Raw genomic sequence first — 23573 nt, 5'->3', positions numbered from 1 at the left:
AGCCCGCATGTGACCCTGTCACTCCCCTCCTCAAACCGTTCAGGTCCTGGTCGTGTTTGCTTAAGGAGGCCTCCCTTGGCCCAAGTGTCAGATGCTCCGCTGTGGGTTCCTATGGCACCTGGGCCGACCTGCACTGTGGGGTTTCCACCTGGCACTGAGCTGGAGCTTTCTGGTCCAGCACATGAGTATCTCTCCTGGAGGGAGGAGCTTTGTTAATCTCCGTAGCCCTAGACATAGCCAGTCGGTGTTTGCAGAGTGAAGGAAGGAATGAATGAATGAGTGGTGCTGGGGATGGGGGAGAGTGCAGATCATCATTCAGCAAATACTGGTTGAGTGCCAGCCATGGGCTGGGCACTGGTGGCGGGAGGAAGGAGGGGCGTGATGATGGCTGGGAGGAAGGGACTGCCCCATGTGCTGCTCTCAAGACTCGGAATGTTTCTGGCTGGCCTGGCCCTGGTCCCTATGTTGGGGATATGGCGTTGGTTGGTTGTTGGCTGTTCCACCCACAAACACCAGCTAAGGAGGCCACTGCAGCGCCCGGTGGTCCTGCCCGCTGCCTTCCTGGGCAGCCCTGCCCCAGTGTCTGGTCTCTCCACAGTGGCCCCATATGTCCCTCGGGGGATCAGAAGGAGTCAGCCCTCTACCCTCATGGATGACCTGTCATGCCGGAGCCACCAGGCTGCAGCCCCATTCACGGCTTCTGTCTTGCTGTATATCTCTGGTCGGGTTAAAGCCCACACCGCTGCCCAAGGCTTTAACCACATCCCGGAGGAGGGGGTGTCCCAAGAGGGTAGGGACACCCCTGGGCGCCTGCCCCCTCTCCCCACTTGCTGCACCCTCCCCCCCCCCCGGCACCCCCCGGTCAGGCTCTACTCTTGGGCGCTTGTGATTCTCTGAACACTGTTCCCTCTGCAGGAATGTCCTTCCGGACTTTCCCAGCCTGATGGCTTTTTTCTTAATATGAGTCATGTTTGCTCCTCACAGAAAAAAAAACTTAAGCATGAGCCAAGCAGAAACAAACAAACAAAAAATCACCCACAATCATACCGCTGTTAGCTTTTGGGCACATGTCCCTCCAAATGATTTTCTTTACGTATTCATGGCCATAAGCAGCCACGTACTTCTACAGAATGGGCTCTTCTCTCAGGCTGTGGATAAACTTCCCTTCCTGTATCTGGACATTTTTCCACTTCGCTGAACATCTCGCGATCCCATCATCATCGGTCGCATAGTATTCTGCTTCCCATTTGTTGATATTTGAAAGCCCTGCTGACATAAATGTCCTGGCACAAATCTTTGCTCACTGGTTATTTCCATAGAAAGTCTTCCTGCCGGTGAAGCGGCAGATGGGAGAGCGCACCTTTTAAAGGCTCTTGGTCCCTGTCGCTAACTCGCTCTCTAGGGGACGCTTAGTTCACCCTTCCTTCTGTCCAGCCCTGCTATCCGCTAGCCTTGGCAGGATTTCTCACCTTTGCCACCCTGTGAGGGACGAGCGACATCCGATCAGGGTGATTCCTATTTCGAGTGAAGTTCATCACTGTTTCTATTTAGTGGTTGTTTGTACTACTTTTGTAAAATACCCTTCTTGTCCTTCGCCTGTTTCTTTTCTTTTGCAGACCTTTGCTGTTTCTTATTTATTGCTGAATTAATTCAGTCTCCACCTCCAGTCTCTGTCTCTCAGTGAGGTCTTCCCTTGAGCCTTTAAAGAGAGAACTCACGGGACCTGCCCTCACGGTGCAGAGGAGGGCTTCACCCACAGGGCACTCGCCCCCTCAGCCCTGCACCCCGTGTCAGGTCAGGGCGCTTCCAGCTGCAAGAAGCATGGAGGGATGGAAGCATTGTGTCTGGCAGCATAAGACAAGGAAGCAGCTCTCCAGTCTTAACCCTCATCCAAAGAGAGGGAGAAATGTGTTTGGAAGTTCGAGAGCACTGGCCAGTGTTTGCCCAGTGTGGGCGGTGTATGGGTGCCCAGTAAGGCAACCATGGTGCTCCCCGCAGAGGCAGCTTTGTCTTCTCCAGGCAGCAGCTTTCAGGGTACAGTCCCTGGGCCAGCAGCAGCATCAGGATACTTGGGGAAATGTGACTCTCAGACCCTGCCTTGTGGCCAGAAAGGGTGAGGAGGCTCTTCCTCCAGTTGAGGGAAGTGAGAGCCGGGCATGCACTGGCCTCTGGGACAGCCCTGCATTTCACTCCCGGGTTCTGCATCCTGCATTCCTCCCTGCCAGTCTCCTTCCTGCTTCCCCGTATCTCCCACCCACACCCTCTCCATCCCATCTCCCATCCCAGGGGCCCCGTTTGCCCCCCGAGCACTGACACCAGGCAGGCCCACCACGGCCTGTGCAGGAGCCAGGCCCCTCTGAGCTTGGCTCCCTGTCCTCCTGCTCCCTCGCAAACCCTCAGGCCTCCTGTCTCAGGGCTGATCTCCCATCTCCAGGCAGGGGCTTTGGCAAGCTCTGCCACTGGTGGGCAGGAGGAGCATCTGTAAGGAGTTTGGGGATGTGGATTCCCACACCTGCCTGACATCCTGGGTCCCGGGATGGGGTAGGGGTATCTAGGGAGCCAAGTTGTTGCCTTGAACTCCAGATGCCCCTGGTGCAGGTGGCTTGTGGACCCTGCCTGGAGAAACAGTAACTTGGGGGCCCGTTTGCACTTCTCCTCTGGAGGCCTCCTCTCCTCTGCATAACCATGGGAAGCCCCATGCCCCTCATGCACTGGAATCACTAGGGAGCTTTAAAAACCACTGAGGAGGCTGGGCGCGGTGGCGCACGCCTATAATCCCAGCACTTTGGGAGGCCAAGGTGGGAGGATCGCTTGAGCTCAGGAGTTTGAGACCAACCTGGGCAACATGGCGAAACCCCATCTCTACAAAAAATTAAAAAATTAGCTGGGCATGGTGGCGTGCCCCTCTAGTCCCAGCTACTTGGGGGGCTGAGGTGGGAGCATCGCCTGAGCCTAGGAGGCAGAGGTTGCAGTGAGCCGAGTCTTGGCAACAGACTGAGACCCTGACTTAAAACCACTGAGGCCAACTGGCAACCCCCCCACCTCCTCCTTTTCTGACTTCATTGGTTGGGGGTGTCGCCTGGGCAGTCAGTGGTGGCTTAGAAAGCTGTCCAGATTTGTTTCTATTGGAGGCAAAGGTGGAGGTGGGTGGTCAGGTGCTGGACAAAGCCCTTCCAGTGATGGCCTCACCCAGCGGGTGGAAACCAGGGCACCTTCATCCCTCACCTGCCTGCCTTCCTGCTGCCTCCAGGCACCTACCACAGAGAGGAGAGCAGATTCTGGGGATGAAGCCAGGCCTTGACTCACAAGGCTCAGCCTGTAGGGAGATCAGGGGCCTGCCCCCACTACCTGTCCTCTGGGTGGGGCATTCCTCTACTGCCCTGGCCTGTGCACATAGCCTGCATCTCCCATCTGGATTAGATCACCAGCCCGCTGGCTCCACACTGGCTCTGCCCTGCTGCCAGTGGCCACTTCCTAGGCCCTTGCCACACGGGCCACCTCTACTTTCTGGGAATACACTGGCATTGTCTCTGCCTCGGAGACTTGGCACCTGCTCTTCTGTCTGGAATGCTCACGTCAGCCACGCAGAGGTTTAAAATATCTCCTCTGCGACGGGCCCTCCTGACCCCTGTCTTAATGCTTGTCAGTTTCTCACCACCATGTTGTCTGACTTGCCCCCAGGGATGTGATGGCTTTCATGATGGCAGCGACCGTCCTCTGTCATGCATCACTAACTCCCAGCCAAGCACAGGGCCTGACACATAGTAGGTGCTCAGTTAATGCGTCAGCTCCTTGAGGACAGAGAAGAGCTTGACCATGGAAGGTGACGGGCAGCCCAGGGGTGTGCGACTCCCTCGGTGATGTTGGCAGGTGTGGGCATGTGTGGTGAGGAAGAGCATGTGGCAGAGACAAGGGCCAAAGGTGGGTCCTCAGGGCCCATGGGTCTCCATGGAATGGACAGGGAGTGAGGAGCCTGAGGAGGGACAGCCAGGGAGACGGAAACCTGGTGTGGTTTCCACATCCTGGAGGAGGGGTGTCCCAAGAGGGTAGGCCCTACCCTGAGCTGCCGAAAGCTCAGGGGACACATCCTGAAACGGTCCCCAGGGCAGTGACCATCCTAGGGGACCAGTCAGGATCACCCAGCACCTGGGAGATGAGGAAGCAGGGACTTGGTCCAAGCAGGGACCATGTTTCTGTGTTGAGAGGAACCGGCTGTGGCTGAGGACACAGGAACGGGCATTGGTGCTCGAGTCCCTATCAGTGTGTGACTTTCTCAAGCAGCACTTAGGCTGCCTGAGGCGCCGCAGCCAAGGAGGCAGGTGGTCCAGGCTTGTTTATGGAGCAGAAAGATGGGGCCCGGATGCAGAAGGCGCTGAGCACTTCGAGAGCAGGTGTTCAGGAGTGAAAAAAACCCAGCCAGGCTGGCGTCGTGGTCAAGAATCCATATCACAGGAATCCCTGACCCCAGAGGCTGTCCCCTCTGGTCCTGCCCTTGCCATCCCGAGTCCCTCCCGTGGTGTCCAGTGAGTGGGTATTCGCTTGTACGTGTGCTGAGTGTGTCACAAAGGGGGTGCAGGGACACCTGCCAGTTTCACACTGCCATCTGGAGCACTTGCAGAGGCCCTGGCAGTCCTGACCTGGCTGCACTGCTCCGTTGCTTGTTCTCCAAGCTGCGATCCCAATTCGCTCCACACGGGCCTGGTCCTACGGTCTTGGTGCTCTGGGTTCTCACTTTGTCCAGGGCCCCAGAGCTGAGTCTCTTAGCCCTGAGGAGTTTTATTAGAAATACGAGTCTAGAGGATCTGATTTTGGTTTTGTTCTTTAGGAAAGAGAGCGCCCCATGCAGAACTAACTGCACGTCATTTCTATAGCTGCTACGTCAGGGCCATGCCTTAAGTGTGGGCTGGGCGTCCTGACTTCCTTCCGCGGAGGGCAGTGTGGAAAGGGGTGGGAGTCACTTTACAGCCAAGAAACCTGGCAAACTGACTGCCTCGGCCCAGTGATCACGGTCAGCACCAGCAGCCATAAGTCACGTTGACGGCCTGTGCCCTTGACATCGTGTGACGAGAAGGGCGCTCCAGCTGTGACAGACTCCAGCAAACCCAATCGAGAGTCTACGGGATGTCCGACCAGTCCTCAAAACCGTCACAGTCACGAGAAACAAGAAACTGTCATAGTCGAGAGGAGCCTGAGGGGATGTGACTGCTAAATGTCACGTGGGATCCTGGATGAGGTCCTGGGGCAGGAAAGAACATGAGGGAAAGACTAAGGAAGCGGCTGGGGCGTGGACTAGAGGTAATGGGAACATTCATCGTCACCAGCATTTCATACTCACTTGCGGTGGTACCCATAGGGGAAACTGGGAGGGGGCCATATGGGAACTTGGTATTATCCTTGTAATTTTTCTGTAAACCTAAAACTGTTCTGAAAAATAAAATTCATTTTAAAAAGAAAGTGGCAAACCTGGGTTAGGCTCTCTGCTGGATTTGTAATCTTGCTGTCGGTGAGATGGATCTGGATGTCCCTGGCCCAGCTGCCAGGAGGATCTCTGCCTCAGTGGGGCTCCAGGCCACCTCCTGTTCGGTGACCTGCTCGTTGTCGCGCTCTGCCGGCTGGGGGAATGGAGCAGTGCTGGGTGAGGCTCAGGCCCACAGCAGATGTTCAGCAGCCTTGCAAGTGCATGGATAAGCTGCGGGAGACGGGGATTGCGCTCTTCCCTGTGCCTCCTCACTTCCCCTTTAGTGAGAGCATTTGGCCAAATGTCCTGTGAAGCTCCTTCTGAACCCTGACCCCAGAGGCTGTCCCCTCTGGTCCTGCCCTTGCCCTCCCGAGTCCCTCCCATGGTATCCAGTGAGTGGGTGTTCACTTGTACCTGTGCTGAGTGTTTCACAAAGGGGGTACAGGGACATCTGCCTGTGAACCTGGTTCTCCCCCACTGTCTGGCAGGGCTGGGGATTCTCAGCCCCTGGCCTCTCCCTGGACTCTTCTGCCCCACAGCGGGGTCGGGCTGGTCTCAGGCTTGGAAAGGTAAATGGAACTGGTGGTGGGTGGTGCCAGCAGGCCCTCCTGCTCTGGACAAGGAAGTGGCAGAGAAACAGCAGTGACACAAACTGGGGTCCCACCAGCCTGTCCACTGCCGTGGCCTTCCTCATCCTCACCACCCAGGCCCCACAGAGCGGCCGGCACCCACGGGACTGGTCTTTCAGAAAGATGCTGTCCGTAGCACAGTATTTTTAAAAAATACTCCTTTGTAAATAACTTTTGGGGTTATTTTAATTACAAAAGTAAAACCTCTTGGCCAGGCTCAGTGGCTCACATCTGTAATCCCAACACTTTGGGAGGTCGAGGTGGGGCCGAGGTGGGAGGATTGCTTGAGCCCAGAAGTTTTAGACCAGCCTGGGTGACATAGTGAGACCCCATCTCTAAAAATAATTTTAACAATTAGCTTGGGCCTGCTGGAGCGGGCCTGTAGTCCCAGATACTCTGGAGGCTGAGGTGGGAGGCTGTCTTGAGCCCAAGAATTTGAGGTGGCGGTGAGCTGTGATCACAGCGCTGGACTCCACCCTGGGTGACAGAGCAAGATCCTATCTCTTTAAAAAAAAAAAAAAAAAGGAACCTGTGTTCATTGCAGAAAATGTACGTGTTTGCCAAAGAAAATAAAGTTTGCTAGCACCTGTAATCCCATTTCCCAAAGGCCAGGCAGATATAGTGCTTCCCGACCTCCCTGTCCCTCACTCGCAGACGGTTGGCTTACCAATGTCTTCATGTTCTCTTGCACAGGACACAGCTTGGGCTATGGCTTTGTGAACTACGTGACCGCGAAGGATGCAGAGAGAGCGATCAACACGCTGAACGGCTTGAGGCTCCAGTCAAAAACCATTAAGGTAAAGGGATCTGATCACCACCGCATCCATTCCTGCCCTGGGCACAGGTCTGTGCTGAGCCCCGCCCAGCCTCACAGTCACTCTCCAAGGGACTATGAGCACAGCCGCTCCTCGGGGGCTCCCATCAGATACCCTGGTCAGGTGTATCTGACCCAGGCCTTACATGAGTGTCTCAGGACCCACTCCCCGCCCAGGGTGCCCCCAGGTTGCGTCAGCTCCCAGGCCTCCCCTGTCGTCTCTCCTGCCTGGCTCTCTGTGTTCCCATCCCTGGACAGCTCCATCCACCCCCAGCCTGCCCAGTGCTCCCTCTGCGCTCCTTGGGGCCAGTTGTAACCCTTCCCTCACCCAGCACCTCACTCAGCACCTACTGTGTGCCCCACAGTGACCAAAACAGACAAATTCAGTGCCCCCGTGGGTCGGGGGTGCAGACAGTAAACAAGACAGAGGATAGCCATGTGTGACCGGCAGTTGCCGTGTGTGGAGGCTTCACAGCGGCAGGTGACTTGAGGAAGCCAACTGTGCAGCAGCCCAGGGGCAGCACCTCCAGCAGGGCCATAGTGGCTTCCTGGGATGAGTTGCAGGTCCTCCAGGTCACACAGATGGATTTCCTCTGTCCTCATCATCTGACCCGCGCTCTCGTGCACTGGGGCTGTCAACCCCGAGCCCCACTTACCCCCGTCCCCACGTGTCTGCCTTCTGGCTCCTGGGTTCGTGGGCAGCTCCTGCCACCTGTATCAAGCCTCGTGTCTTTCCGACCTTTGCTCCCTGGTCTCCTGTCAGTCCTGGGTACTGCTGAGCCTTCCCTGAGCCTCCCGTGCCCCAGGCAGGCCCCTGCAACTGGGCTTCCTGCAGCAGCCACTGCACCCACCCGCCCTCAGTGCCCGCCTTCACAAGATACCCACAGACGTAAGGGCTTCCCGGCCAGAATCCCCTCTCTTGCTCCAAGGCCATTTGGAATGAGGTGGTCCTGTGTGAGCCTTTAGATCTGCTAGATTCCCCTGCCCCAGAGAAAGGTGCTCCCTGAGTCACATCAGGCACCCTGAAGGGTCCCTCTTGGACCTGCCAATTATTAGGGCCTCCTGGGGAGCTGTAACATATAGATTCCATGGTCACAGGGGGGCCTCCTGAGTCACTGCAGGGTGGGCCTGGGAGCCTGGATTTTTGCCTGCCCACCAAGAGGGGTTCTGTGACCTGACAGTGACAGCACCTTCAGCCAACAGCTGGCCTCTGTCCCTGCCTTCAGACTGCCCCATGATCTTGGTTACTCAGTGGCCAAACCCTGGCTCAGCAGCAGCTCTCCCAGACCTGCCCCATGCCGCATGGACGTGGTGTGCAGTGGGCTCCCTGAGGGCAGGCGCGCCACTCCTGCCTCCTCGTGTCCAGTGCAGGTCCTCAGAGGCACCTTCCCCGGTGGGGGCTGGTGAGGGCAGCCAAGCGCCATGGGATTCCACCTGAGCAGGGGCAGCCCTTCCTCGCCTCCAGCCCCAGGTGGCTTATCCTTGGCCCTGGACTCCCCATCTAGGAATTCTCTCCCCTATTTAGAAAATGTGTGAAGGTTCTTGTTTCTGAGGCAGCCAGGCTGAGGTGTGGAGCAGAACGCTTGATTATTCCTGCACAGCTGTTCCGTTTACTCAGATGCAGGAGCCGGGTGCCCAGTGTGTAAACAGGACTGTCTTGCCTCTCTAGGATTGATGTTGGTGGGAAAGGCTGGAGTGGCTGCCTGAGTTTGGAGCCAGAGCCTCACGGGACCCCAGGGGCCCAGGCCTGGGCAGGTGTCCCTCCCTGTCATCCCGGCCATGCATGCAGAAGCCTGCCTCACCTTCGGCGGCCCTGCCCTCTGCCGGCAGAGTCTGCTTCTCAGTGGCTTCACACCACTGTCCTAGTTCTGCAGAAACAGGCCAGCCTCATGGGGACGTGACAGCCCTAAGTAATTTCTCCCCAGGTCTCCCCGAGGCTCCCTGGGCCTGGCTCCTCTAGCAGTTCCCCCGGCGCAGCCCTGGGGTCCTCTGTGCTCCAAGTGTGTTCATTCCGCAAACCTTTACTGAGCCCCTGGCCAGTGTGGTGCTGGGCCAGATACGTTGATACTGAGGGACTTCGGATCCCCTGCCATCCCCAGTTTAAAGGTGACTGATCTGTGCAGTGTGATAAGGGCCTGGATGGAGTTGTGCGTTCAACTGATCCTGGATTTTATTGCATCTTGGTCTGATGCCACCTGGTGTCCTGCAGTTCTATTCTGACACCAGTCACCCAGAGTTAGCACAGCCCCAGCACATTTAAGGCCACGGTCCCCAACAAGACCGCCCTCACCTCAGATGCCAGTCACCCTTTGGGGGACCCCAGGCCCCTGCACTTTTGACCAGCTGGCTACAAATTCAGGGTTCCCGCCACCCCTTCAGGGTGCATGACTCACTAGAATGACTCCTGGAACTCACACTTCTGATGACAGTTTGTTTATAAAGGTTGCAACTCAGGGCCTGCCAAATGAAGAGCCACACAGGGAGGGTCCCAAGCACAGAGCTCACATGTCTGCACCTGGTGGGATCAGGTGCCTAGTCCTCCCTGCATGTGACCTGTGCACCTGCCAGGAGGCTCCGTGGAGCTTTGGTGTCTGCCGTGTTTACTGGGCTCATTACGAATGCATGACCGATTGACTCTTTGGCCATGTGATCGAACTCCATCCCCAGCACCCCTTTCCCCTCCCCCACCCTGGAGGTCAGGCCGGTATCGCCCAGCTCACAGCCCCAGCCGTCTAGTCACATGCTTGGTCTTTCTGGTGTCGGAGCCCATCCTGAGCCATCACTTAGCACAAACTCAAGTGGGATCCAAGGCCTTATGGTAACAAAGACAGAAATTCCAGGAGTTTTACAAGCTTCCTCCTAGGAATCTGGGACAGAGACCAGACAAATCCTTTATGACAATACGGGCTAGGGCCAAGCCCTCTGCCAGGTGCTGGGGGTCACTGGCCCATGGTCCATCCTCGGGGAGCCCAGTTGTGCCCACCATTCTCTGTAAGGTGGTCCCAGGGTGGGCTTAGGAGCCTATAATAGTGGCCAGTGCCAGAGGAGGCTCCCTCAAGAAAGCCAGAGTTGAGATCTGGAGGAGGAGAGGGAGTTAGCCAGACCAGGGTGGAGATGAGGGTATTCTGAGCAGCAGGACCTGCAGGGGCACAAGGCAAGGGCCGCATCCTAGAGGAGACCCAGTGGCCAGGCACATCATGGGAACTGCAGGCTGGCCCCAAGCCTCTGCCCCGCTCCTCCCTTGCAGGCAGGGCCTCCTGGAGCCTTGTGCTCATCCTGGGCTCTGAGGCCCCAGCCCTGCACAGAGAGCGCAGACGTGCCTTGCCTTCACCCCGTCCGCTCTGTCCTCTTTGGTCCTGATGTCATTCCCTTGGTGGCAGAGTGGAGAAGGAGGAGTCCTGTCTCCTCATCCCTATCTATCTTTTTCCCATAGTAGCAGCCCAGGCAGCCACAGTGGGAGTGGTCCTGCATGGAGGCGACAGGCTGAGCATGTCCCAGATGCAGCTCAGTGTCCCTGCTGGGATGCTGCACAGTCTCTGTGTGCAGCTCTTCATCACTGCTGGGTCCCTGTGTGCCACACACAGCCAGTGCTTATCAAAGGCTGACGGGGCCAGACCTTCCATCCTGTATCTCACGTGCCCTCTCCACAGCCCCATAAAAAATGGTCCCCAGATTCGGGTTGAAGAAGCTGATGTTTCGAGTAGTGAAACAGCTCTGCCAAGGTCACGGAGGGATGGAGGGGCAAAGCCAGGGTGTGAAACCGGGTGCTGTATGTGGCTACAGGCACTTAACATTGTCACCTGGAGGCTTCCCCAGCACATTGTGAGATCCAAGCCTCAGGAACCAGAACAGCAGAACTCCTGTCACCCACAGAAGCCGGCGCCGGGGACTGCAGTGCAGATAGGCAGGCGTTCTTCACAGCAGTGGCTACTGCGCACTCCACTCACGCAGCAGCGGTCCCCAGATGCCTGCCGTTCACCTGAGGCTGCTCTGAGTGCTTTGGATATGGCAGGAGACACACAAGTCTGGCCCTCACAGAGTCTGTTTGCAAAGTTAAAAGTTAAATAAGTAAAATAGATGCCAGGCAGGGTGGTGCATGCCTGTAATCCAGGGCATTTGGGAGGCTGGGGCAGGAGGATCACTTGAGCCCAGGAGTTCAAGTCTAACCTGAGCAACATAGCAAGACCCTGTCTCTACAAAAAAAACTAAAAAAAAAAAAAAAAAATGTAGCGTGTCAGGTCATGATCAACGCAGTCAAGAACTAAATAGGGACAGGAGGAACTGGGCGTTGATGCCAGTGGAGGGATCTGTGGCAAGCTGAGTGGTCAGGAGTTTGCTCAGCTGCCATGACAAAGCCCCACAGGCCAGGTTGCTTCAACAGAAGAAGGGTATCAACTCACAGTTCTGGAGGCTGGAAGCCCGAGACCAAGGTGTCAGCAGGGTTGGTTTCTCTTGAAGGCACTGGGAAGGGATCTGTCACAGGCCTCTCTCACAGCTTCTGGTGGAGGCTGGTGGTCTCTGGCACTGCTTGCTTTAGAGAAGCATCACCCCAGTGTCTGCCTCCATCTTCACACAGACTTCTCCCTGTGAGAGTGCCTGTATCCACATTTCCCGCCTTTCTAAATTGAATTTATGTTTTCAAAAAAAATACTTTTTTTTTTTTTGAGATGGAGTCTTGCTCTGTCACTCAGGCTGGAGTGCAGTGGCGCGATCTCGGCTCACTGCAAGCTCCGCCTCCTGGGTTCACGCCATTCTCCTGCCTCAGCCTCCCGAGTAGCTGGGACTACAGGCGCCTGCCACCATGCCTGGCTAATTTTTTGTATTTTTAGTAGAGATGGGGTTTCACCATGTTAGCCAGGATGGTCTCGATCTCCTGACCTCGTGATCCACCCGCCTCGGCCTCCCAAAGTGCTGGGATTATAGGCATGAGCCACTGCGCCCAGCCAAAAAAAAATACTTTTTTTTTTTTTTTAAAGACAGGACCTCACTCAGTCACCCAGGCTGGACTGCAGTGATGTGATCACGGCTCACTGCAGCCTCAAACTCCTGAGCTCAGGTGATCCTCCTACCTCAGCCTCCCGAGTAGCTGGGAATAGAGGTATGCCCCACCACGACCAGCTAATTTTTTTTGTAGAGATGGGGTCTTGCCATGTTGCCCAGGCTGAACTCTTGGGTTCAAGCGATCCTCCCACTCAGCCTCCAAAACAGTGGGATTACTGGCCTGCGCCACCACACCTGGCCTAAATTTCCCTCTTTTATAAGGACATCAGTCACATTTGATTAGAGATCACCCTATACCAGTGTGACCTCGTCTTAACTGATTACATCCGCAATGACTGTATCCAAATCAGGTCACGTTTTGAGGTCCCAAGGGGTTAGGACTTCGGCATATGAATTTGGATTGTGGGGTGGGGGGAACACGATTGAACCCCTCACTGGATGAATTCTTGAGAATGGGCAGCCAGAAAAAGACCTGATTGAGGCCAAAGAGCAAGCGATGTTGGGAGCTTAGGAAAGAGGGTTCTGGCCGAGGGGCCGGGGAGCCCCAGGTCAGTGCACGCCTGCTGTGCGCCAGCTGTTCTGATTCTAGCCTGACTGAACATGACAGTGTCCAGAGAGAAGAGGAAAGCAGAGTTCCCATGGTCCTTGGAGACACCTGTCCTTGGGAGGCATCAGAGCTTTCCCCAGCATTTGGCTCTAGGGCACTTCTCCTCTGGGGCTTCATCCAGGGACGGCAGTAGGTCCAGTCAGTGCCAGCCTCAGCTCCGCTCCACTGGCGCCAGGGTCATGGTTTGGCAGGCCCCCAAATACTGCCCCAGTCCAGACAGGTCTGCAGGGAGCCAGGGCAAGCCCGGACACTAGGGGAGGCTGGGGGCCAAGGCAGCCTCTTTTTCTCTGGGGACAGCACTGGCAGCCCCTGACCCACATCATGGGGTGAGCAAGTGTCCCCAGAGCTCCTGTCCACAGGCTGATGGAGGTGCCCCGGGCCTGGGAGCAGCACGGCTTCCCCAGAGACCTCATGGGCTCCGTAGTGACATGCTCCCTCGATTCCCACCGCTACCAGGCAGAGCTGGCCTCCAGCCCCACACTCCTCTCCTCGTGGGGCTGTCCTGTTCCCCTGCTGGGCCGCCCACTGCCCTATGAGCAGGGGCAATGTCTGTTGTTCCTTCTCTGGAACATGATAGGAGCTTCTCAGAGGATGCTGTGTGTGTGTTCTCAGCACGCAGATTCTGCCCAGTGACTCCTGAGTGGCGGCTTCTCCCTGCGTTCTGGTCTCAGTTACCTTGGCTCATCAGTTCTGTGCCCCTCACTCAAAGGGAATGAACTTCCTTTCGCACAGGTTCAAGTCCCCACCCTTCTCGGGAACACATCTCCTGCTCCCTCCTCCATATCCCAGCCTCCTGACGAGGCTGTGAGTCCTGCCAGGCTGCCCCTTCACAGGCAGAGGGGTTCCACTGTGGTCCTTTTCTTCCTTCTGGGCCCATGGGGTCTGCACGGCCGTCAGCGCCAACCTGAGAAAGCACCGAAGACCTTGTCTTGCATTGGCCTCCGGGCTCCCCTCACCACCCTCTCCACACGAATGATGAATGTACCATTTTGTCAAAGCACCCAGAAGGTTCTCTTCAGTTTTCTTTGATTTTGCAAAATATAAATCCAAAAGGCATTGAGTCGTTTAATATTGAACACTTGAGTGGATTTGAGTACAAACTCGGGGTCCTCCCAGAACTCACAGCCCCTGTCAGGGCTTCTGTGGCGAGCTTGCTCTTTGGCAGGGGAGTCTCCTGTGTTCCCAGTAGCTCCCAGCTTGCTTGCCCGCTGCAGCACGGGCTGCTTTCAGGCACCAGGACCTCTCTGGCACCGGCTCACTGTCCAGCACATCAGAGAGGTAGCCACACACAAGCTGCGGGCCCTCAGTTGCTGGGCTTTGTGACATAGGAGTCACGCCTGCCTCCTTGAGGATGGTGAGCACCCAGTGAGGAAGCACTGCCAGGCATCCTGGCTCACGGCCCATCCCTCAGTGAGCTTGCCACCATGCGGCTGCAGGCGGTGAGCGTCAGTGATGATAATCGTTCCCTGCATGATTTCTAACACACAGTGTTGGCTTTTCCTAACCCAGCATTCAACACCCTCCTCAATGCTTTGGCCACGTGCCTGTACTAATCTCGGAAAGTGGTTGTGTTCCCAAGGTGTCGTATGCTCGCCCGAGCTCAGAGGTGATCAAAGACGCCAACTTGTACATCAGCGGGCTCCCGCGGACCATGACCCAGAAGGACGTAGAAGACATGTTCTCTCGGTTTGGGCGGATCATCAACTCGCGGGTCCTCGTGGATCAGACTACAGGTACCAGAGGGGCCCCAGACGCGTGGGGAGGGTGTTCTCTAGGTGGGGGCTGGGTTTTCTAGGGAAGGCAGATCACCGTTTGATTTTAAATGTCATTAGTTATTCCGCAAACGAGGACAGCACCAAAATGAGAAGACGTTGGCTTTGGTTTGAGGAGGCTGAGGAGGTAAGATGGCATTAAAAGAAGCTGGGGATATCTGGGCGTGGTGGCTCACGCCTGTAATCCCAGCACTTTGGGAGGCCAAGGTGGGTGGATCACGAGGTCAGGAGATGGAGACCAGCCTGACCAACATGGTGAAACCCTGTCTCTACTAAAAATACAAAAAATTAGCTGGGCATGGTGGCGGGCGCCTGTAGTCCCAGCTACTCGGGAGGCTGAGACAGGAGAATGGCATGAACCCGGGAAGCGGAGGTTGCAGTGAGCCGAGGTCTTGCCACTGCACTCCAGCGTGGGTGACAGAGCGAGACTCCGTCTTAAAAAAAAAAAAAAAAAAAGCTGGGGATTAGGCCAGCATTTCATGTACAGTGAAAACGCCAAGAGATTCTAGCACCTTCCCTCAGGCACCCAAATGTGCTGGCCTTGCCCATGAATGGGGTGAAAAGGACACTGCAGGCCGGGTGTGGTGGCTCACGCCTGTAATCCCAGCACTTTGGGAGGCCGAGGTGGACGGATCACCTGAGGTCAGGAGTTTGAGACCAGCCTGGCCAACATGGTGAAGCCCCATCTCTACTAAAAATACAAAAATTAGCCAGGTGTGGTGGCAGGCGCCTGTAATCCCAGCTACTCGGGAGGCTGAGGCAGGAGAATCGCCTGGACCCCAGGAGGCGGAGATTGCAGCAAGCCGAGATTGCGCCACTGAACTCCAGCCTGGGCAGCAGAGCGGGATTTCATCTCAAAAAAAAAAAAAAAAAAAAAAAAAAAAAGGATACTGCAGCCAGGTGCGGTGGCGCGGGCATGTCATCACAGCTGCTCAGGAGACTGAGGTGGGAGGATTGCTTGAGCCCAGGAGTTCACAGCTGTGGTGAGCCGTGATCGCGCCACTACACTTCAGCCTGGGCAACAGAGCAAGACCCTGTTTCTTAAAAAAAAAGAAAAAGAAAAAAAAAGGCTGCTGCACATTTGTCCACTGTGGCTTTCGTTGCAGGCATTTGGGGTGCAGTAGTCTGATGGCCCAAATCCCCAGAATTCGGATGCCCCTCTCTGGGGAGCACATCTAAAGTGCACAGAGCACATGGCAGCGAATTCCTCTAATGGGCAGGCAATCCTGGCCACTTTGCTGGCCCTCCCAGTCCGTCTTGGCACTGGATGTGGGCTCTGGGCTTTGTGTGATGCCGTCAGGCAGAGATGAGCAGGGGACATGTGCACGCCCACGGCTGTGCTCCGGCCCTACTGCCTGGCCCGCCTGCCGCACTAGGCTAGGAACTAGTGCCCCACCACATCCTTTGCCAAGCCCTGCACGTGGCCCCGCCTGGGGGACAGGGAGCTCGGGCCACCCTGAGGGGATTTAGGATCGCTCAGCTCTGTTTGGGGCAGGAGCAGGAGTCTGCTAACTAACCAGCAGGGAAGAATCCACTCCCTGAGCCTAGTGAGGCCCATGCGTTGTATGGGTGGTTTTCATATTCTTCCCACACAGACTGTGTGTGCCGCACCTTGGCTGTGATGTTGAAATAACACCGAGTAGTTGGGCCACAGAAAGTCATGCTCTGAGGTGACCTCTTTTTGAGAGAACAGCAGCACTCCCCCAGCAGCCCAGAGCCTCGCCTTTCATGTGCACACAGGTGGGGCCTTCCTGGCCTGCAGGCTAGAGGGGCATGCACATTGTCCTGCGTCCCCTGAGCTGCGTGCTTTGGGGTGGGCGGCCTTATCAGTCTCTCTTCCTCCTCCTTTCCGGCTGTAGGAACCCCACCTGGCATGCACTGGCCCTGCCGCTGCCGGCCTTCGTTCCCGCTGGGGCCCGAGGAGGGGAAGGGCCCCTTTGCACTTCATGGGGGCCCTGGGAGCTTCCTGTAGCCTAGCACAGACTCGCGCCCTGGCACCGGGCAGTGCCGAAGGACAGGGCTCACTCGCACGGCCGCCGCCATTCTGCCTTTGCTCTGGGGAGAGGGTCGGGGGATGCCAGTTACTCGGTGTAAACTCCCCTGGTCTGCACCAGAAGAGTCTCCTGTGGTCCCTGAAGTCCTCTCACTTAAGTGCCAGCTGAGCGAATGATCCTGTCAGTGGGCCAGTGTGTGGGTTTATTGCCCCCCATTCTGCACTGGGGCATCTGAGCTGGCTGTGCAGGGCCCAGGGCCGGGGGAACCAACCTCACTGGCCCACAGTCCACTCCCCTCCTCCTCTAGACCCCACATGCACTGCTCTGCCTCGGCCTGTCTGTGTCCAGTATGGCCCTGATGAGGGAAGCCTGTGCTCCACTTGGAGCCCCCAATGCCTGAGAACATGCCTCCAGCCACCCAACTCTCTTGGGGCCTTCCCTAGTCTCTCAGGCACACACGGGCCACAGGCAGGGGGAACTCACCTCTGCACACAGCTGCTGGGGGCATTGCTTCCTTTCCCTCTGCAAGATAGTGTCTCCCAGGGTGTTGGGGGCACCTTAGTATTGCGCCCCCAGGGTCGGCTGTGAACCTCAAGGTGGCCTAAGGAACCTTTGTCATCTTTGCAGAGCAGTGAGGGAGGCAGAGAGAAGGGAGCCAGGAGGGTCTCCCGGCTCTGCTTCCCACCCCAGGATGCAGAATTGGTGGGAAGGTGAGGCTCCCATCCCAGGGCTGTAGCTCCCTCTGCTGGAGACAGAGTGTGTGTGGCAGGCCAGCCTGTGTGGAGTTTGCCTTCCTGTGACGGGCTTTTTAGTGTTAAATAGATGAGGATGGCCGGGCGCGGTGGCTCACGCCTGTAATCCTAATACTTTGGGAGGCCAAGGTGGGAGGATTGCTTGAGCCCAGGAGTTCAGAACAGCCTGGCCAACATAGCGAGACCCCCAACTCTTTTTTTAAAAAAAGAGAAAAAAAATCCCACCCTGAGCTGACAGAGCTTAATTTTTTGTATTCCTTCGCTTCTATATCCACCTTAATTGTGAACTTTATAGTGTATTCATCTGGAGATTATGCCGTTTCTTGGACTCTGCTGTTAAATTCTAAAAAACACAAGGGGGCCGGGGGCCGTGGCTCACGCCTGTAATCCCAGCATTTTGGGAGGCCAAGGTGGGTGGATCACCTGAGGTCAGCAGTTCGAGACCTGCCTGGCCAACATGGCAAACCCCATCTGTACTAAAAATAGGCCGGGCACGGTGGCTTATGCCTGTAATCCCAGCACTTTGGGAGGCCAAGGTGGGCGGATCACGAGGTCGAGAGGTCGAGACCATCCTGGCCAACATGGTGAAACCCCGTCTCCACTAAAAATACAAAAACTTAGCCAGGCATGGTGGCAGGCACCTGTAATCCCAGCTACTGGGGAGGCTGAGGCAGGAGTATCGTTTGAACCTGGGAGGCGGAGGTTGCAGTGAGCCGAGATTGCACCATTGCACTCCAGCCTGGGCAAAAAGAGCGAAACTCCATCTCTAAATAAATAAATAAAGTAAAATAAAATAAAAATTAGCCAGGCATGGTGGCAGGCGCCTGGAGTCCCACCTACTCGGGAGGCTGAAGCAGGAGAATCACTTGAACCGGGGAGGTGGAGGTTGCAGTGAGCTGAGATCGTGCCATTGTACTCCAGCCTGGGCGACAGAGCGAGACTCCATCTTAAAAAAAAAATTAAAAATAAAAAACACTAGGGGAAGAAAAAAACAAAAAATGCAGAGCCATCTTCAGAAAGTATACATCCATTAAATAATTGAGTGAATTGATATCCCCCTCTGCTAAACAGCATCCCTCCTGCCCCCCTTACTAGAGCTTTCTTCCTTTCACTCAGGCAGTTTGCATTTGAAAGCCACTCTACAACCCCAGACGAGGAAGCCACACTTGCACACGTGCCTTCTCTCCGCTGGGCCGCAGGGTCTTTAGAAACAGAATGAAGCCATCTGCTTGGAGCCAGCTTCCCTACGAGCCGGCCAGCGTCAGCTCTCAGTCGTATTTGCCTAAAGTTCGATTTTCATTTAGGTTTCCAAGACTGACTAAGCTGTCATTCGTGTCGTGAGAGACTCAAAGAAAACAGCATCTGTCAGGGTTGTGTTTTCAGGTGTTCCTTCTGAGCAGCAGCTCAGAAATGAGCTTGAGCCCCAGAATATTCCTGGCACGTGTGCGTAGCGCTAGGTCTGACCTTACTAAAGCTGCTGTCTCTGTGCTCACGGGGGGCCTGCAGTGTCGCGATTGTGGGGGCAGCTGGCGGGACCCTCTGGGAAGTGGTGGAGTAAGGTGCCGTGTGAGGCGTGGAGACAGGACATGGGGACAGTTGGGTGCCCGCTGGACAGGTCACCCAAGGCCCCGGGCTGCCTGGCTTTGGTCGTTGTTTGTTACCATGCACCAGAGGCCTTTGCCTGGAGAAGAAACCTGACTTAAGACACCCTTTGACTGGAAGTCTTTCTTTTTCCTTAAGAGGTGAGATCTTACTGTGTTGTCCAGGCTGGTCTTGAACTCCTGGCCTCAGGCGATTCTCTTGCCTCAGCCTCTGGAGTAGTTGAGACCACAGGCATGAGCCTTGGCCTGGCTTGACTAAAAGTCTTGAGAACCAGGGTGTTTGGGTTGGGCTGTCTGTGACGGCCTCTCCCACTGGGACACACCCGTGACTCCCGCCTAGTGATGTCACTCTCAGACTGGCCTCTCAGCTGTCACCTCTCCCACCCCTGGGCCTTCCCCTGACTCCATCATGTCCTTGCCCCCAGAGAAGGAGCTAGTGCGCTGCTCAGTGTGCCCTCATCCCCATCCCCCTCATCCAGTTTCCAGCCCGCTTCCCAGGTTCCTCAAGGGACGGGCTACTCATGTTTCCCTCCCGGGCCTAGTGTATGGACAGGCAGGGGTGCAGGACAGCCATGCTCTCCTTCCACCCGCCTTGCTCAGCATCTCACACCCATGCCCAGCTGACCAATGTCCCCCATAGCAGGACGGTCCTCAGGTCTCACACTGCTCCGTCCAGGGATTGGGTTTAGCCGGGAACCCGGGACTGGCCCTTGGGTGGCTCAGTTGAGGTGGCAAGAGAAGATGCCCTCTGGGCTTGGCTGCTGGGGCCCTGGCCCTTCCCATACAGGGACCCCAGGCCTGCCTGGCGAGCCTGTGGATAGGTTCAGCTCTGCTGTATGAGCCTGGGCAGTGTTCTGGCCTCATTTGATTCTGATGGCAATTTGGGGCCCACGGGAGGGGTGTAGGACCTTAGAGTGGAGTATCCCAAGACAGGAGTGAGGTGACAGCAGCAGCATGGAGCTGGCAGGGGGTGGCCACAGGACCCTACTCCCTCCTGGCATGAAGGAGAAGGCATGCAGGCTGAGCTGGGCACCTTTGCAGCAGGCTCGGCCACGAGGCCTGCTGTCACAGCGGGCCCAGAGACAGCAGCCAGGAGAGTGGCCCCTGAGCCCAGGGAGGATCTCTCAGACGCAGTCCCCACTCCAACCCTGTTACCCACCAACCACACACCACACCCACGCACCCACTCTGTGGCGGACACCTGGCAGCTAAATAGTGACGGTGGATGTGCTGTTTCCTAATGTTGCTTTCTTCCAAATAAGAGGCCTGGGTGTCTATTGGGGATGTCTGTCACCAAAATATCTTTGGGCGCCAACACTGTGGAGTCATGGCTTCAGCCGGGAAGAAAGTCTGAAGCTTTAATCTTCTGTTAGTCATTGGTTTTCTTTACTCCATCCATTTGTTTTCACTTTTAGGTTTAATTTTTGTTTATTTCCTTAACCAGACTTCTAGCCTGGCCCACAGTAGACTGACCTGACTTTTGCTTTTCAGTTTTGAAAGTCCTAGCGTTTTTCCCCCTAACTCCGTTTTTGTTGATTTGTTGAAAAGGTTTGTCCAGAGGGGTTGCGTTTATCCGGTTTGACAAACGGTCGGAGGCAGAAGAGGCAATTACCAGTTTCAATGGTCATAAACCCCCAGGTTCCTCTGAGCCCATCACAGTGAAGTTTGCAGCCAACCCCAACCAGAACAAAAACGTGGCACTCCTCTCGCAGCTGTACCACTCGCCAGCGCGACGGTTCGGAGGCCCCGTTCACCACCAGGCGCAGAGATTCAGGTGGGTCGGGAGGGTGCGCGCTCCTGAAAGCCATACTTAGCCCCGCTGGCAGGCGACGGCACAGCCACAGAATAGAAACCACGGGGATGATAGACTGATCCCGTCAGAGAGCGCGTTTCAGAATCATTCTGCAGCTCCACACCACAACCTCCATCAGAAAGGTGTCTGTAGGAAAGCCGTTTACTTCCGATTGGGCGTTGTCTTTCATGGGAATCAAAACAGTGACTCCAGGCTGGACACAGTGACTTATCCCTGTAATCCTAGCACCTTGGGTGGCTGAGAGAGGAAGATCGATTGAGCCCAGGAGTTCAAGACCAACCTGGGCAATATTGCGAGACCCCATCTCTACAAAAAATACAAAGCTGGCCAGGCATGGCGGTGCGCTCCTGTAGTTGCAGCAACTCAGGAAGCTGAGGTGGGAGGATTGCTTGAGCCCAGGAGGTTGAGGCTGCAGTGAGTTGTGATCATACCACTGCACTCCAGCCTGGGCCACAGGGCCAGAACCTGTCTTTTTTTGTTTTTATTAAAAAAAAAAAAAAGACAGCACCAGTCCCCACCAGTTGCTGTGAGCGTGAGCACTTAGAGCTTCAGCACGCAGTTCCTAGTAACAGCAGAACGGAGCCGCGAGCTTTAAAGATGGTTTCATGCCCAGTGTGGGGGAGCACACACCTGTAATCTCAGCTCTCAGGAGGCCGAGTTAGGAGGATTACTTGAAGCCCCGAGTTTGAGCAGCCTGGGCAACAAAGTGAGACCCCTGTTCCTACAAAAAGTAATGAAAAAAACTGGGCATGGTGATGCTGGCCTTTAGTCCCAGCTACTCAGGAGGCCATGGTGGGAGGATCGCTTGAACCCAGGAGGTGGAGGCTGCAGTGAACTATGATTGCACCACTGCACTGCAGCCTGGGTGATAGAGTGAGACCCTTTCTCTAAAAAATAAATGAATAATGAACGTCTCATATCTGTGGGAGAAAAGATGCTGCCTTAGGTATACTCGGGTGAGAGTAGATCTTCCAGCATTCTTAGACATTTGATCAGCAGCCCTAAGGCAAACCTTTTTCAAACACCTGCCTCGTGGAGTCATTTGTATTGGTGAATGTTGTATGTATGCATTCTGTTTATAAGCCCTGTCCTAGAGGGGAGGAGTTTTCCCGGATTCCTTAGTCTTTCCATCCTGAAAATGGTTCTGGCTGCCAGGATGAAGTGGGATAGAGGCGATGAGAGTCAGGGCCTTGGACTCCAGGATGTGGTGTGCTGTCGCCTCAGAAACAGCAGAGGTCTCAGTGTCAGGGCTGTTTTGTTTTTGTCAAAACCTCAAGGAGTGGCATCGAGGGCTTATCTCAGGTATGACAAGGATAGATTTCCCTTTTTTTTTTAATTTTTAATGTTTTTATTTTTTGTTGAGATGGGGTCTCACTGTGTTGCCCAGGCTGGTCTTAAACTCCTAGCCTCAAGTGATCCTCCTACCTCAGCCTCCCAACGTACTGGGATTATAGGCGTGAGCCCGGCCCCATCGTTGTTTTAACAGTGAAGCTGGGTGGGCGCTGCCCAGTGCCACACATGCTGCTGTGAGAGGTGTTATTCTCATGGCTGAGTTACCCAGCATTCTCAGCCTGGCTCAAATTCCAAAGCTGGCCTGCCTTCCTTGAGGTTTCTGGCTTGAAGACAAGGCTGGGGAAGCTTCTCTGGACGGAATGGAGCTGAATTTTAAAATCCAGCTCTAGAAATCCCATCATACAGTCGGTCCTGCTCTTGATGGGGCGGGCTATATGGGCGGTGGGGTTGGGTGAACTGCTCCTTAGCCTGGAAGGAAAACAGGGAAGGTTGGAGGAGACATGGGACTCTGGTCCCAGTAATGAGGACAAGAAAAGAAAGGGGAAACCGGAGAAGTGGACATTTCTGGTCGAGCAGGAAAAGTGAGTGGCAGGGCAACCACTAAGACAAAGTGATGGAAGGAAGTGGGGAGGGCGGGAGAGTCTGGAGGGAAAGATTCGCTCAGGAGGCTGAGAGAAGAGGAGGAAGAAAGACCCAGACTGCAGTGAGTTTGCAGTCAGTCCCTATCACGTCCAGAAAAGCCCAGAGATAAGGGATGGAAAAGAATTGGGTTGGAGGAAGAGAGGAGAAGATTTATGACTGTCAAGACCAGAGAAATCAGCAGGAGAAAAACTACCAACAAGAGTAATTCCTAAGAAGGCCGGGCGCATTGACTCACGCCTGTAATCCCAACGCTTTGGGAGGCCAAAGCAGGAGGATCACTTGAGCCCAGGAATTTGAGACCAGCCTGGACAACATAGACCCTTTCTTCTTAGTCTTTCCATCCTGAAAATGGTTTTACAAAAAATGTAAAAATTAGCCAGCATGGTGGCACACACCTGTGGTCCAGCTGCTCAGGAGGCAGGAGGATCACTTGAGCCTAAGAGTTTGAGACCATACTGGACAACATAGTGAGACCCTCTCTCAAAAATAAAGAAAATCACCGTTGGGCTAGTGAGCTGCCCCATGGCAGCTGGTGTCCTCTCGTGTCTGTCGAGAGGGTGAATCTGTTTAACAGCGCTTGAAGGCACTCGTTTACCCCGGCTGGGGCCTGCAGGGCTGCGCTTGGCTGATAGGGCCATAGCCTGAAGCCCAGTTTTATTTTGGAGCAGGTAATGCTTCTCTGCATGCATCACGCAGCTTCACAGATGCCGGCTTCACAAATGTATGCTACTCAGATATTCCCAAACTGACCCTCAGACCTTTACTTTTTTAATGTGAGAAAGTTCCAGAGGGAAACATAGCTTTAGGAACTGTTTTGTCATATACCTTAATCCTTATTACAGCATCTGTACATTTTCAGAAGGCTTTATTTTATTTTAGTTTAGTTTAGTTTTTGTTTTCTGAGGTTTTTGTTTTTTTCCTAGAGATGGGGTCTCTCTGTGTTGCCCAGGCTGGTCTCAAACTCCTGGCCTCAAGTGATCCTCCCACCTTGGCCTCTCAAAGTCCTGGGATTCCGTGCTTGAGCCACCATGCCTGGCCCAGAAAGGCTTATTTTTTATGTAAATAAAAGTATCACTGTGGAAAGAGCCCCACGTGTGTGGTCAAGTTTGGTGAGCCTGCCGTTGCTGGTGTCCCAGGGCCCTTCCCTGTCCCTTGAGTTCTCAGTCCTCAGTGGTTTGGCCCCTGACCCTCAGGGGA

At 55.2% G+C, this 23573-nt stretch overlaps 1 protein-coding gene across 3 annotated transcripts in view, besides 6 other annotated features; it reads left to right on the top strand.

Annotated features, from left to right (window-relative positions):
- Positions 1 to 23573, top strand: part of ELAVL1 (ELAV like RNA binding protein 1) — a 47069-nt gene that overhangs the window by 17675 nt on the left and 5821 nt on the right. For 2 of the 3 annotated variants that reach the window (NM_001419.3, XM_047438383.1), the window contains exons 3-5: positions 6781 to 6884; positions 14089 to 14242; positions 20177 to 20402. In NM_001419.3, coding sequence (NP_001410.2) covers positions 6781 to 6884; positions 14089 to 14242; positions 20177 to 20402 — 484 coding nt within the window. The remainder of the gene's footprint in view (positions 1 to 6780; positions 6885 to 14088; positions 14243 to 20176; positions 20403 to 23573) is intronic. The other variant, XM_047438384.1, reaches the window with a different exon arrangement.
- Positions 9682 to 10182: an enhancer, noted in NCBI's record as "H3K4me1 hESC enhancer chr19:8042669-8043169 (GRCh37/hg19 assembly coordinates)". NCBI's record gives its function as "activates a minimal SCP1, AML or CMV promoter by ChIP-STARR-seq in primed H9 embryonic stem cells {active_cell/tissue: H9 hESC(primed)}" and the evidence as "EXISTENCE:reporter gene assay evidence [ECO:0000049][PMID:30033119]".
- Positions 16622 to 16671: an enhancer, noted in NCBI's record as "active region_13905". NCBI's record gives its function as "activates an Ori minimal core promoter by ATAC-STARR-seq in GM12878 lymphoblastoid cells {active_cell/tissue: GM12878}" and the evidence as "EXISTENCE:reporter gene assay evidence [ECO:0000049][PMID:35858748]".
- Positions 16722 to 16831: an enhancer, noted in NCBI's record as "active region_13904". NCBI's record gives its function as "activates an Ori minimal core promoter by ATAC-STARR-seq in GM12878 lymphoblastoid cells {active_cell/tissue: GM12878}" and the evidence as "EXISTENCE:reporter gene assay evidence [ECO:0000049][PMID:35858748]".
- Positions 18053 to 18666: an enhancer, noted in NCBI's record as "NANOG-H3K27ac-H3K4me1 hESC enhancer chr19:8034185-8034798 (GRCh37/hg19 assembly coordinates)". NCBI's record gives its function as "activates a minimal SCP1, AML or CMV promoter by ChIP-STARR-seq in naive H9 embryonic stem cells {active_cell/tissue: H9 hESC(naive)}" and the evidence as "EXISTENCE:reporter gene assay evidence [ECO:0000049][PMID:30033119]".
- Positions 18667 to 19279: an enhancer, noted in NCBI's record as "H3K27ac-H3K4me1 hESC enhancer chr19:8033572-8034184 (GRCh37/hg19 assembly coordinates)". NCBI's record gives its function as "activates a minimal SCP1, AML or CMV promoter by ChIP-STARR-seq in primed H9 embryonic stem cells {active_cell/tissue: H9 hESC(primed)}" and the evidence as "EXISTENCE:reporter gene assay evidence [ECO:0000049][PMID:30033119]".
- Positions 22215 to 22415: a silencer, noted in NCBI's record as "peak3325 fragment used in MPRA reporter construct". NCBI's record gives its function as "represses an SCP1 promoter by STARR-seq MPRAs in K562 erythroleukemia cells {active_cell/tissue: K562}" and the evidence as "EXISTENCE:reporter gene assay evidence [ECO:0000049][PMID:32103011]".

Source organism: Homo sapiens, chromosome 19 (assembly GCF_000001405.40).
Source record: "Homo sapiens chromosome 19, GRCh38.p14 Primary Assembly".
Taxonomy (NCBI): Eukaryota; Metazoa; Chordata; class Mammalia; order Primates; family Hominidae; genus Homo; species Homo sapiens.
Note: the sequence above shows the minus strand (reverse complement) of the source record. Positions and strands in the feature narration are given on the sequence as shown.